Raw genomic sequence first — 13,580 nt, 5'->3', positions numbered from 1 at the left:
CAAAAATCCTAGAATAAAGCCTAGGGCATACTCTTCTGGACATTCACCTAGACATAGAATTTATGATTAAGTATCACAAAGCATAGATGGAGTGGTGAGATTAAGCGTGTTCCCTGCTTTTGCAATTTTTCTAGCTACATTTTCTGTAATAGGTACATTTTGGTTTTACAATGAAAATCAATACACTATTTTAAAAACACAGCTGAGCGTGGTGGCTCACACCTGTAATCCCAGCACTTTGGGAGGCCGAGGCAGGCAGATCACAAGGTCAGGAGTTTGAGACCAGCCTGACCAACATGGTGAAACCCCGTCTCTACTAAAAATACAAAAATTAGCAGGGCATGGTGGCGTACCTGTAATCCCAGCTACTTAGGAGGCTGAGGCAGGAGAATCACTTGAACCTAGGAGGCGGAGGTGGCAGTGAGCCGAGATCGCGCCACTAGCATGCCAGCCTGGGCGACAGAGCAAGACTCCATCTCGAAAAAATAAATAAATTTAAAAAAATAAAATAAAAACACAAATGCACTGACTATGATAGTTCTTACTTCCTTTGCTTCACTCTGAGGGAAGCCAGGTACCTGTTATGAGCTGCCCTATGGAAAGGTCCATATGGCAAGGAACCAATGTCCCCAGCCAACAGCCAGCAAGGCTGCTTCTTGCCACAGGAATGAGCTGGCAAGCAGACCTTCCCTTAGTTGAGCCTTGAGTTGACTATAGCCCCAGCCAACCTCTTGATTGCAGCATTGTGAAAGACCTGGAGTCAAAATCACTCAGCTAAGCCACTTCTGGATTTCTGACCCACAGAACCGTACAATAATAAATGTTTGTTGTTTTAAGCTGCTTAATTTAGGAGCAATTTATTAAATAGTAATAGATAGTGAATAAAGGAGTGTATGTGTGGTGGGGGTGAGCTTATGTGGCAACATGAAGTTCCTTCATCCAGGCAAAATATATACTTCAAGGCCTCACAGATAATATTGACTTTGGAGAATTTGTCATGGCCTTGGGTCTGACTTTTGATTTTGGAAGCCCAGAACCTGATTTTCAGCACAGCATTAAATAGATACATCATTTAGGGCAGACTTACATGAACCAAATTTTTGAAATTGATATGACAAAACTAAATGCTAGTTTATTAACTTATAAGTGAACAAAAAATAATATGCTGACCAGAATACCAGAACATTTATGTCTTTGTGACCACGACTTTCTCTCTCGGAAGGCAAAATTTAATGTCACATATGGAAGGGGTTGCTTGATGAACATGGAACAAAGGGAGTTTAATATAGGTTTCAAGTGTTTATTGGCAACAAGCTAAGTCTCCTATTAGGGAGGATTTCATCAATGGAATCAGAGAACTTGACAACTGTTGTCTACAACTTCCTTCATTTATGTCTGCACCAGAATGGACTCATCAGTGGGCCTGGAAATTCCCCAAATTACTTGGCTAAGGCTCTTTCCTTTTCTGGCTGGGCACTGGCCAACTTCCTTTGCATTTTTCTCTACAAAATGACTAAAAAGATGCATTGATTTCATATTAAGCAGATACCTACAATGACAGAAAATGGTGAGACTAACTCACAGGAAACAGTTATAACAATCAACTTATAATGGGTAGGAGATAATGTAATATATTTGACAATGATTTTCCTCCACGTGGCTGGAAGAAAAAAAATTGTTTCTCAGCTGTGTGGAAAACATTGCACCCTCAGGGCTCTGGAAGGCAGAGTTCCACAGCATGTGTGGTTAGGCTGTCCTCTGGTGGCCACAGCACCACACAGCAACGCTGGACGGTCTAGGTCCCCTCTAGCTTTTCTCTTTTTTCCCTTATTAAAAAGTCTCTCTCTTTCCTTTCTTTTAAAAATTGGGACATCATAGTATATATTTTGGGGATACATGTGATATTTTGATACACTTATACAACCTGTAATGATCATATCAGGGTGGTTGGGATGTCCGTCAACTCAAACATTTACCTTTATGTTGGGAACATTACAATTCTCTTCTAGCCATTTTGAAATATACAGTAAATTATTGTTAACTGTAGTTTCTCCACTGTGCTATTGAATACTAGAACTTATCCCTTCTATATAAATGTATTTTTATACCCCTCAACCAACTTATCTGTGTCTCCCTGCTCCCTCAACACACATACACCCCCCCAGCTTCTGATAACCACCAGTCTATGCACTACCTCGATGAGACCCACCTTTTTAGCTCCCACATATGGTGATAATATGCGATATTTGTACTTCTCTGCCTGGATTATTTTACTTAATATAATAACCTTCAGTTCCATTCATGTTGCTGCAAATGAGATAATTTTATTCTTTTTCATGACTGAATAGAGTTCCATTGTGTATGTATATCACATTTTCTTTATTCATACATCCATTGATGGACACTTAAGCTTATTCTATATCTTGATTATTGTGAATAGTGATGCAATAAACATGGGAGTGCAGATATCTCTTTGATATATTAATCTTTTTTCTTTTGGTTATACACCCAGCAGAAGGATTATGGGATTTTATGATAGTTCTGTTTTTAGTTTGTTGAGGAACCTGCATACTCTTCTCCACAGTGCTGTACCATCCACCAACAGCACTGGGATTCCCTTTTTCTCTGCATCCTCACCAGCATCCATTATTTTTTGTCTTTTTGATAATAAGCATTCTAACTGAGGTGAGATGATATCTCATTGTGGTTTTGGTTTACATTTTTCTGATGAATAGTGATTTTGAGCATTTTTTCATATATTTGTTGGCCATTTGTATATATTCTTTGAGAAATGTCTATGCATGTCTTTTGCCCATTTTAAAATTGGATTATTTGTGGGATGTTTTTTTTTTTTGCTATTGACTTGAGTTCCGATTTTCTCCAATTCTGTAGGTTGTCTGTTCACTTTGTTAATTGTATCCTTTGCTATGCAGAAGCATTTTAGTTTGACGTAATCCCATTTGCCTATATTTGTTTTTATTGCCTGTGCTTTTGAGGTCTTACCCAAAAGATCTTTGCCCAGACCAATGTCCAGTAGTGTTTCCCCCAAATGCTTTCTTCTAGTGGTTTCATAGTTTCAGATCTTACCTATAAGTTGTCAATCCATTTTGAGTTGATTTTTATACATGGTAAAAGATGGGGATCCACTGTAGCTTTTCTACAGAGTCCCTTTAGAGTGTTTCTTTCTACAATTGAATGCCTGGCACTGCCCACCCAAGATGATAAGCTGGAGAAGAAATATTGGAGCATAAATAGAAAGTTTTATGCCATCATATTTTGCTTAGTAACCCAATTCTTACTAAGACTACATCAATACTCAGTTAAGCCTTACCACCACGTTGTAGGCTGTGTTATTCTGGAATGACGAGAAAACTGAGGATTACAGAAGAGCAATGACTTGGCAAAGGTCACACAGTACATGTGTTGGGTGTTCCACATAGTCAGCAGATAAATAACGTGTACCTACTATAAGCTAGTCACAGAAGTGGACAAAGAGAAATAATTTTCTCTGAAGACAACATTATAATACAAAATGATAATTGCTGGGAGGATGTGTGTTCTGTGGACTGCCATAGCACATGGGAATGCATTTTGCCCAGGCAAGGTCAGTTGGGAAAGTTTCTCAGAAGAAAGGAGACTTGAACTGAGTCTTGAGGATATAATACTATATATATATAACCAGGGAAGCCAGAAGAGGTTAAGACTAATCAGAATAAATTAGAGAATGTTTTCCTCCCCTCTCACCCCATGCATGAGACTCCAGTTAGAAGACAGAAGTAGAATACTGTGTTATCCTGGAGTCTTCATTATGTTGGACAACAAGTTTTGTAGAAAGCTGAAGGTTACTGCTTTGAACAATATACATATATTTTTAAACCAGCAGCAAATACTTTAAAAAAGCATTACAGATATCCTTATTACCAAAAGCAGATCCTTATAATTTTCCCTAGATTGTTCCTCCTCCTGGTTCTCAATCTCAAGAAATAGCAAATCGAACTCCCTGACCACCCTTCCAAATGGAGTCTCCTGTTATTCCTGTTTTCTATTTTCATAGTACTTAGCATACATGATAGATATATTTTCAGTGGTTTGTTTGCTGCTTTTTCATTTTCCTCCCCTGCTCAACTGTAAGTCTTAAAAATCAGGAATCCAGCTTGCTTTATTTGTTTGCATATTACCTGAGCAGAAAATGAGAGTGGGAGGTGGGCTGGGTTTAGGGAATGAGGGAATTTGGAAGTCATAATAATGAGTGTAAGCTTCTTCAGGAGGGCACTGAGGAGTGTTCAGATAATTTTTTAAAAAAGAATGACAAGGCCAGGCTTACATCTCAGAAAGTTTCCTGTCACTGCAGAGTGGAGAATGGGCTGGAGCTGCAGCTTATGGAGCTAATTTAAGAGGTAGAGGCAGTGATCCCTGCAAGATGTGACAGTGCTCTCGACTCAGATGCCTGGGGCTGAATGAGAAGTGGTGGTAGAAGTGGGCGCTGAGGACAGGGAATTAACAAGCCCTGGTGATTGACAGGTTATGGGGGAAGCCCCCGGACTCCTTCCTGGGAATTTGGTGGATGGTGGCATTTCTGTGAGATAGAGGATGGGAGAAGGAGCAGATTTGTGGGAACAGGCTGCATGTGTGCTGGAAACATTGAGCTTAGGGTGCATGTCTGTCACATGCAAGGAAAGAAGTCCACTAGAGGGCTGGAAGTGAGCCTGAAGTTGAGGAGACAGACCTGGGCAAGAGGGACAGCAAGTGGAGCCATCTGGATGAGGCCACACAGGAGGGGCTGTGTGTGAGAGAGGAAGGGGTCAGGACAGAGCCCTGGAGAACAGCAACTTCTAAGGGATATGTGGTTGAAATGAGCAGCAGGGATGCAGAGAAGGAGCTGTCTGAAAGAGAGTCAAAGGGAGTCGGGAAGGCAGTAAGCTGATGAGAGTGAGGTGGTAGGAGAGGGCTGGCTGACAGCCAAAGATGTCCTGAGATGCCCAGGCAGAGGAAGCTGAAAACTGGCCTTTGGATATATAATTGTTCCCTTCCACATCACTCTTTGAACTGTATGGGTCCACTTATATGCAAATTTTCTTCTCCCTCTGCCACCCCTGTGACAGCAATACTAACCCCTCCGCTTCCTCCATCTCCTCAGCCTACTCCACATGAAGACGATGAAGATGAAGACTTTTATAGTGATCCATTTCCACTTAATGAATTGTAAATATGTTTTCTCTTATGATTTTCTTAATCACATTGTCTTTTCCCTAGCTTACTTTATTGTAAGAATACCATATATAATACCTATAACATGAAATATGTGTTAATTAACTGTTTATGTTATCAGTAAGGCTATTAGTAAAGTTTTTGGGGAGTCAAAAGTTATACACAGATTTTCTTTTTTTCTTTTTCTTTTTTTTTTTTTTGAGATGGAGTTTCACTTTTGTTGCCCAGGTTGGAGTGCAATGGCACACAATCTCGTCTCACCGCAACCTCCACCTCCCGGGTTCAAGCGATTCTTCTGCCTCAGCCTCCTGAGTAGCTGGGATTACAGGCATGTGTCACCACACCCAGCTAATTTTGTATTTTTTGTAGAGACGGGGTTTCTCCATGTTGGTCAGGCTGGTCTCAAACTGCTGACCTCAGGTGATCTGCCTGCCTCAGCCTCTCAAAGTGCTGGGATTACAGGTGTGAGCCACCGCACCCGTCCTATACACAGACTTTCAACTGTGTGGGAGGGGGTCGGTGTCCCAATCCCCATATTGTTCAAGATCAACTGTAGTGCCAGAGACTTGAATGATATCATTAGTGTGAGGACTGTTTAGTTTTTAGTGTTGGTACTATTTAGTTTCCATTTATTGCCAGTTTTTATGTATTTATTACCTTTACCTTTTAGGGAGGGCACAGGAGTTGAGGAATAAAACATTGAGTATGGATGTTACAGAGTAATTTGCTGAGATAGAGGTTCATTGGTTTTAGCATTCCCCAAGCTGATCCCTAGGCAGGTCTCCTTCAAGTTTCTAAAAATATGAGTTGGTGGGTTCCTCCTTCCTACCCACCTTCTAACCCAAGTCCAGAGCTTATGAGTTTTAGGACTCTGAGAAGATGATGCTTCTCCCTAAGAAGAAACGATAGAGGTCAATGTTTAGAGAAGGCAAGGTTGAAGCCCCTGGACCTAGGAAAATTAGCAGCTTTAGCTGCCATTGAATAATGAGGGATGGGGATGAGGAATGCACAGTGTGTGAACAGAGACCTGTGCCCACTATCAGGCATATGTGAGGCTAGATGGGGAGCTCACTGCAGATGCCAACCTTGGAAAGAGATGGCTGCAGGGCCCACCCTCAGTCTAAGCAGGAGAATTATTTTTACTAGAAAACTGAATTTTGCTGAGAGCTGAGGAATACGAGCTTGAGAAATACAGTATTTTTTAAAATCTGAAATGAAGTATTAAATATAATGACTTAGAATCCCATTTTTTGTCTTTTGTTTAGAGAAACGTATCAGTGCTTTTTAATCATGGCTACCAAGAGAATCTTGGAAGGAAATAACAATTTGTTAGAAAAGAATATTTTCTAATTTTGTAATCATAGCAACTGATTTGCTATTATAAAAGTAACACAAAATTGAAGGAGCTGGGACTTGATTTTACCCTACTTTAAAAGTAAATAAGTTAGCATCTTGTTTCATGAACACTGGTAGAAGACATAGACTCTTGGGCTGGAGACAAAGCACTTTATTATTCATGACATAGCGTGAGCATCAGCATGTTTGCAAAGGTTCCCCTTGTCCTCAAGTCCCAGATGGGTGACACCACAGGCCCAGATGAATGGTGCCCACATAGTAAGTTCATTTCACAGTGAAGGAGCACTGAGCTTAAGGAATATGCTGCTTTTACGGGAAGCAATAAACACACCTATTCTTTATTTCAAGTGACACAACCTCATCTCTTATGGTTGGCCACAGCAAACCCACACCTGAGAAATGTCCTGGGTAAAGAGGGCTGAGGGCCTTGCATTCTTGGTATACCCAGCAAGACGTGTAGGAGCTCAAAAAACAAAAACAAAAAATATTTACTATAGGAAGTGTGCATAATAATAATAACAATAACAAAACCCACTTCCTACTTACATTGCCCAGAAACTACAAATGGTTAATTTAGTCCTACAAGCTAGATCCAGAGTTGAGAGAAGTTTATGGCAGCTGCTGGAGTCACACTTGAAGTTCAGGTGATAATATTATTTTTTTCATGTCAAATGAGTAAGATGTCAATGTTGTAATAAGGTTAGAGGGAGGCACATCTCACACAGGAGTGTGAAAACTCAGTCATCATGCTTATGAATCATAACAGGATCCAGGTGATAATATTTCTGAAGCAAATATTCCTGTTAGGACAGCTGAAGTTCATCAAATACCTTTGCGCTCACTACTTGGGGTTGGGATTAGTCTTTCAGGCTGAAGTCACTAAGGAACCATGGTCCATTTCCTCAAATTTCAAGGACTGTCTTTCAGATGTCTCAGAGATAGCACTGTCTGTGAATACAGTGAGGGCTTCCTTGCATAGTCGGTCTAAGATTTTCTGTTTCTAAGCCCTTGCCTCTTCCCAAGCATGTAGTGAAATCTGAGCTAGTTACAACAAAACAGGTTAGAATAAGGCTTGATCACCACAGCAGGCAGGCTATCCACCTTTTTTTTTTTGACAGAGTCTTGTTCTGTCTCCCAGGCTGGAGTGTAGTGGAGTAATCACGGCTCACTACAACCTCTGCCTCCCGGGCTCCAGGGGTTCTCCCATCTCAGCCTGCCGGGTAGCTGGGACTATAGGCGCCTGCCACCATGCCCGACTAATTTTTGTATTTTGATAGAGACAGGATTTTGCCATGTTGGCAAGGCTGGTCTCAAACTCCTGCCCTCAAGTGAACCACCCGCCTCGGCCTCCCAAAGTGCTGGGATTACAGGTATGAGCCACCACACCTGGCCTCTACCTTCAATTCTGAGCTCAGAAAACTCCCTGTTCCTCAAGCTTTGAGGCCTATTTACTTTGCTTCATCATGTATTCATTATTAACCCTTCCTTCATCCTGTTTAGTAAATATATGTTGAGTTACTACTAGGCTGGGAGCTCTGCGAGGCAATGAGGGCACATTCTTCCTGCCCTCGGGACACCAAAGCCGAGGAAATCTCATGCAAACATTTTTTTGGATGAACTCTGGAATGTTGTATGGAAACAAACCAAGTGTTTTCTATGCTGTTAGTCAACTATGATATGTAATTTGTGTGTGTGTGTGTTTTTAAAAAAATAGCCAAATAAAACCCTATATTACCATTCAAAATTAAATTTGCAGGAAAAATAATCGCTTGATCTGTATAAAGTGCTTGAACATGTTTATATCCCTTGAAATTATTAGCAAAGATGCACTTGTGATTTTAAAAATGTAACAAAAAATGAATTAAATTATACAAGAAATCATCAACAGATCTCTTGATAGTCTTTTTAAAAAGGATGAAAAGATTGAACAACTAACTAAAACTTAGATCTTAGAAATTAATGACTTAGGTTGTATTTTCTGCCTTTCACTTGCCCAAAGGAAAAAGAGAACAGTACTTAGGTGTCAGCCCAGGCTTGCCATGTGCATGCTCTCAGCTTTAACGCTGAGGTATGAATGAGTATTAACGCTGTTGGTATGAGTGAGCTGCAGGTCCAGAAATAACTCTCCAGTAACACACTTTAGAAATAATCCCTCACAGGGTAGCCATGTCACTTGTATTAGTTGTAAAACACACCACTCACTTTTTGATAGTGATAAAGTGATTTCTTCATTGACGTTTTGGAAAAATTGCAGCAACATACTGTCTTAGCAAATGCTTTGAAACAAGTTTTTTTATTTTTAGAGAAAAGTGTTTTGGACACTATTGATTAGTATTTATTTAAGAAAGTTTTATGGGCATGGTGGCTCATGCCTGTAATCCCAGCACTTTGGGAGGTCAAGGCAAGACGATTGCTTGAACCCAGGAGTTCAAGACCAGCCTGGGCAACATAGAAAGACCTCCATCTCTACAAATCATTTTAAAAAAATTAGCTGTGTGTGGTGGCATGTGCCTGTGATCCCAACTACTCAGGAGGCTGAGGCAGGAGCATTGCCTGAGGCTGGGAGTTTGAGTCTGCAGTGAGCCATGATTGTGCCGCTGCACTCAAGCCTGGGTGACAGAAAGAGACCCTGTCTCAAAAAAAAAAAGAAAAAAAACAGCCAATTACTAGCCACTAGATTTTAGCCAATGGCACCAACATTCCTTAGGCCAACTTATCAGAAAAGATGTGAAATGCTGGCAATTGTAGGGACAGAATTTTATAGGGAATAAACTTTTGACGTGGCAGAAATCTAACTAAACAGTATTTGATTGAGGCTATGCCCCCACCTTTTTCTCTACTGAGGAGACAAAAGCTGAGGGCTCCAGTCTGATGGGCCTTGGTACCCAGCCAACCAAGGGAATGCATTCAGGTCAAGGGCATGCTGGAGAGAACTCTCTGTGTTAGCTATTATTAATGGTTCCAAATTTATAGGAAGAACATTAGTTTGATAACTTGTCCAAGGTCACTTTGCTCAGCTAAATGAGTGATGAGTGTTTGATTCAAACCAGGCCTATCAAATCCCTAAATCTGTGCTTTTCAGGGCCAGGAAGAGAGAAAGTTTGCTAAGGTGGAAATCGGAGGGTGGAGCACCAATCCTTACCTCTTCCCTCCCCAGCCAGAGCAGCTCTGGCTGAGATCACATTTGAAGAAATCCTTTTGCTGTTAAGAAGAAAAGAAAAGAAAGAAAATAAGAAAAAAAAAAGGAAAGAAAAGAAGAGAAAAATTCCAGCCTTGCACTAGTCTGAGAGATTTTGAGGCTGAATTAAATAAAACCAGATGTTAATTTATTATCAAAATTCTCAGCCTATAACAGTTCTCAAATCTTGTGTACTTAGGAATCTGCTTGAGTGCTTGTTTAACCTGGAGAGTCTTAAGCTCCACCCTCAAGAGATTGGATTGAATAGGTCTGGTCTGGGGTGAAGCACAGGAATTTGCAATTTTCACAGGAGTCCCAGGACAATTGGACACAGGTGGTAAGAGAACTGCATTTTGAAAAACTGAACAAAGATGTTTTGAAAAGAAAGAAAAATGAAAGCCGAGAGCGCCAGAAGTGGTTTGATCTCACCCATTTGGCATAAGTGCTACTCCCTTTGGAAAGCCCTCTGTGAATGACTCAGCAAGGCCTGTCTTAAATCGTGGGTCTCTTCCCTGGTTTGACATTGGAGAGAGAGTAGTTACCATCACGGAAAGGAGAAAGTGAGTCTTAGGACTCAATCCTTCGCCTGTAAGGGAGACTACTGAACAGGGGAAAAGAAGGAAAAGCTCAAGAGTGCTCCAAAGCCAGCGGAAGAATATGTGAGCAGAAACAAAAGAAATGAACAGAGCAATTTTCCTCCTGAACGATACTGAGTAGAATTTCTTAGGAAGGCAGAGGCAGGGGGCACATTGCTACCCACTAAATCATGGCCTGACAGCCAGTCACAGTCCAGTCTCTTTCAGCCAAGAGGAATGTTCTGAGAACCCTTCCTGCTTGGACTCAACATCACATCCCTGGCAAGGCTTCAGGACAAGAATATGGGCTCCAGGAAGCATCAGTGATGGGGTTGGTGGCAGCCCAGATTTTTGTTGCTGAAGGAGCTAGATGCAGTAGTCTGTAGGTAGGGAGAAGATGAAGGTGAATTTGCTGAGGATTTCGTATAACACTGAAAAAATCATAATCCATATCAAGTTCATGTCCTTGATGACATTAAGTGAGATCCCATAGTTGTGGCCACCCATGCACATGTGATAGAACTTGATGATAAGTTGGTTTCACTGTCTTTCCTAATCTCTGCTGTTTTCCCCAGGAGAGACATGGGTTGTGAAGGCTCCAGTGTTACTGAATTTTTACTCGGCTTGCCAAGGTTTGGTTCAGCTCCATATCAGGGAGGGCCCACATGGAGAGTCAAGATCAGCCCAGACTCTCCACATGCTGGATTCTCAAGGTCCCAGGTAAGCTGCCTTGGGGAACCATGGCTGGCTTAGGAACCAGGGGTCTGTGTGTGTTGCTGGAGCATTTCCCTCAGATGCTACTAATCCATCTGAACATGTAGGCCATGAGTGGTTTCTAAGCCTGCCTGTTCCCTGTCTCTCATGTGTGAATTTTTTCCATACCTGTTTCTTACATGTGCAGAAACTCTTGGTTTGCTGGGCATCCCCATACAATCTCCCCACAGCGACCTCAAATTCACAATGTTCTAAACTAAATTAACATTTCCTACCTATGTAGACCTGCTTCTGTATTTCTATCTTGGATGAAACAGCCACCCAGCTGCTCATACCACATCCTCGGGAATCTTCATTGACTCCTCTCTCTTGCTTACCCTGATCATCCAACTGAGACCAAGTCCTGTGGAGACTACCCCATAAATCATCCTTCAACCCATTCTCTCCCCTGGAGGCTTTGCCACTGCTCTGGTTCAGTCTTCATTTTCCCAGTAGATTTGCAATTGCTTCCTTACCAATCTCTCTTCTGGGGTTTCTCAAAGAACGTGTTTTTGGCATTTTCAGAAGGACAATTATGCATTTGTGCAAAATGTTTCCGACATTGTATTTTTTTTTTTTTTCAGACAGAGTCTCCCTCTGTGGAGGCTGGAGTGCAGTGTGCAATAGCACGATCTGTTACCCAGCCTGGACTGCAGTGGCACCATCTCAGCTCACTGCAACCTCTGCCCCCCGGATTCAAGCAGTTCTCGTGCCCTAGCCTCCCAAGTAGCTGGGACTACGGGCGTGCGCCATCACACCCAACCAATTTTTGTATATTTAGTAGTGACAGGGTTTCACCACGTTGGGCAGGCTGGTTTTGAACTCCTGACCTCAAGCAATCCATCCACCATGGCCTCCCAAAGTGCTGGGGTTACAGGCATGAGCCACCGTGCCCCAGCCCCATATGATTTTTTTGCATCTGTGGCCTGAATGCTGTAAATGTTGATAGTGCCTTTCAATTGTAAGAACCAACCTCTCCTTCCGCAAGTGGTGCTAGAAAGGAGTTAAGTTCTGTTCAAGGACTCAGGGATGTGAAAGGACAAATTAGAGCCACCGGAGCCATTGGGGTGATCTGAGCAAAATCTGAAGGCAGGAGCCTGTGCTTTGGGTGCGGCTTCTATACCCTCCTAGGGTAGGAATGCAGCTCCCACAGGGAGCTTTGATGCAGCACACATTGTATCTTTACCCCATGTCCTGTCCTCCTTCAATTGTGTCTTCTATCACCTTTATTTTCTTCTAATTCTACACAGTACCTCTAGGAGACTGATTTCACTTGTTATATCCTCCAAATATCATGTAAATGCCAATTTCTCCCAAACTTGCATATCTACTTCAAGGTATCTCTTCTCAGGGCTAGGCACAGTGGCTCATGCCTGTAATTCCAGCACTTTGGAAGGCCAAGGCAGGAGGATCGCTTGAGGCCAGGAGTTTGAGACCAGCCTGGGAAATATAGTGAGACCCTGCCTCTACAAAAAAGAAAAAAAATAGGCAATTGTAGTGGTGCATGCCTTTAGTCCTTACTTATCAGGAGCTTGAGGTGGGAGAATCACTTGAACCCAAGAGTATGAGGCTGCAGTGAGCTATGATCGCGCCACTGCTTCCAGCCTGGGTAACAGAGTGAGAACATGTCTCTAAAAAAATAAAAATTTAAGTTGGGCATGGTGGCTCATGCCTGTAATCTCAGCACTTTGGGAGGCTGAGGCGGGTGGATCACTTGAGGTCAGGAGTTCAAGACCAGCCTGGCCAACATGGTGAAACCCCATCTCTACTAAAAATACAAAAATTAGCCAGGTGTGGTGGCACATGCCTGTAATCCCAGCTACTCAGGAGACTGAGACATGAGAATCGTTTGAACCTGGGAGGCGGAGGTTGCAGTGAGCCAAGATCACACCACTGCACTCCAGCCTGGGTGACAGAGTGAGACTCTGTCTCGAAAAAAAAATTTTTAATAAAAATAAAAATTAAAAAAATAAAAAATTAGATATTTCTTCTCAGCTCAAGACCTTTGAGTATATTAAAATTTAGAATGTGAAAAAATTGCCTATTCAAATCAGTTCAGAAAGGTAAACTAGTCAACAAACACTGTTTATACACTCAGGAAAAGGTTAAGATAGATCCTTGAACCATTTATAGAAACATATACTTGATTGTTAAATAAATATAAACATAAAGTCATAGAAAAAATATAAAAGGTACGTAAAGTCTTCTTAAAACACAAATTTAAAGAAACATGAAAGAAGAGATTGATAAACCTGATTCTATCAGTATTGATAACTTCTGAATATCATATCATAAACAAAATTAAAGACGAGACTGGTCCAACCAAGAATTAATATTCAGAATATACAAAGATGTGCATGCAAAAAAGAAAAGCATGCACAATTCAGTATTGAGCTGTATACATATATTAATAGACATTTGCAGAAGAAAAAATATGAATGACCATGAAATATAATCATTTCAATCTAGTTAGTAAAAAGGGGAATTAAATTAGAGTGGTAATAAGGTGT

At 41.4% G+C, this 13,580-nt stretch overlaps 1 non-coding gene across 1 annotated transcript; it reads right to left on the bottom strand.

Moving 5' to 3' along the window:
- Positions 1–7,229: 7,229 nt before the first annotated feature.
- Positions 7,230–7,333, bottom strand: LOC124906161 (small nucleolar RNA U13). The gene has a single exon (XR_007088749.1). It is a non-coding gene; the product is annotated as a small nucleolar RNA U13 (small nucleolar RNA).
- Positions 7,334–13,580: the final 6,247 nt, after the last annotated feature.

The sequence above is a fragment of the Homo sapiens genome, chromosome 2, assembly GCF_000001405.40.
Source record: "Homo sapiens chromosome 2, GRCh38.p14 Primary Assembly".
Classification (NCBI taxonomy): Eukaryota; Metazoa; Chordata; class Mammalia; order Primates; family Hominidae; genus Homo; species Homo sapiens.
Note: the sequence above shows the minus strand (reverse complement) of the source record. Positions and strands in the feature narration are given on the sequence as shown.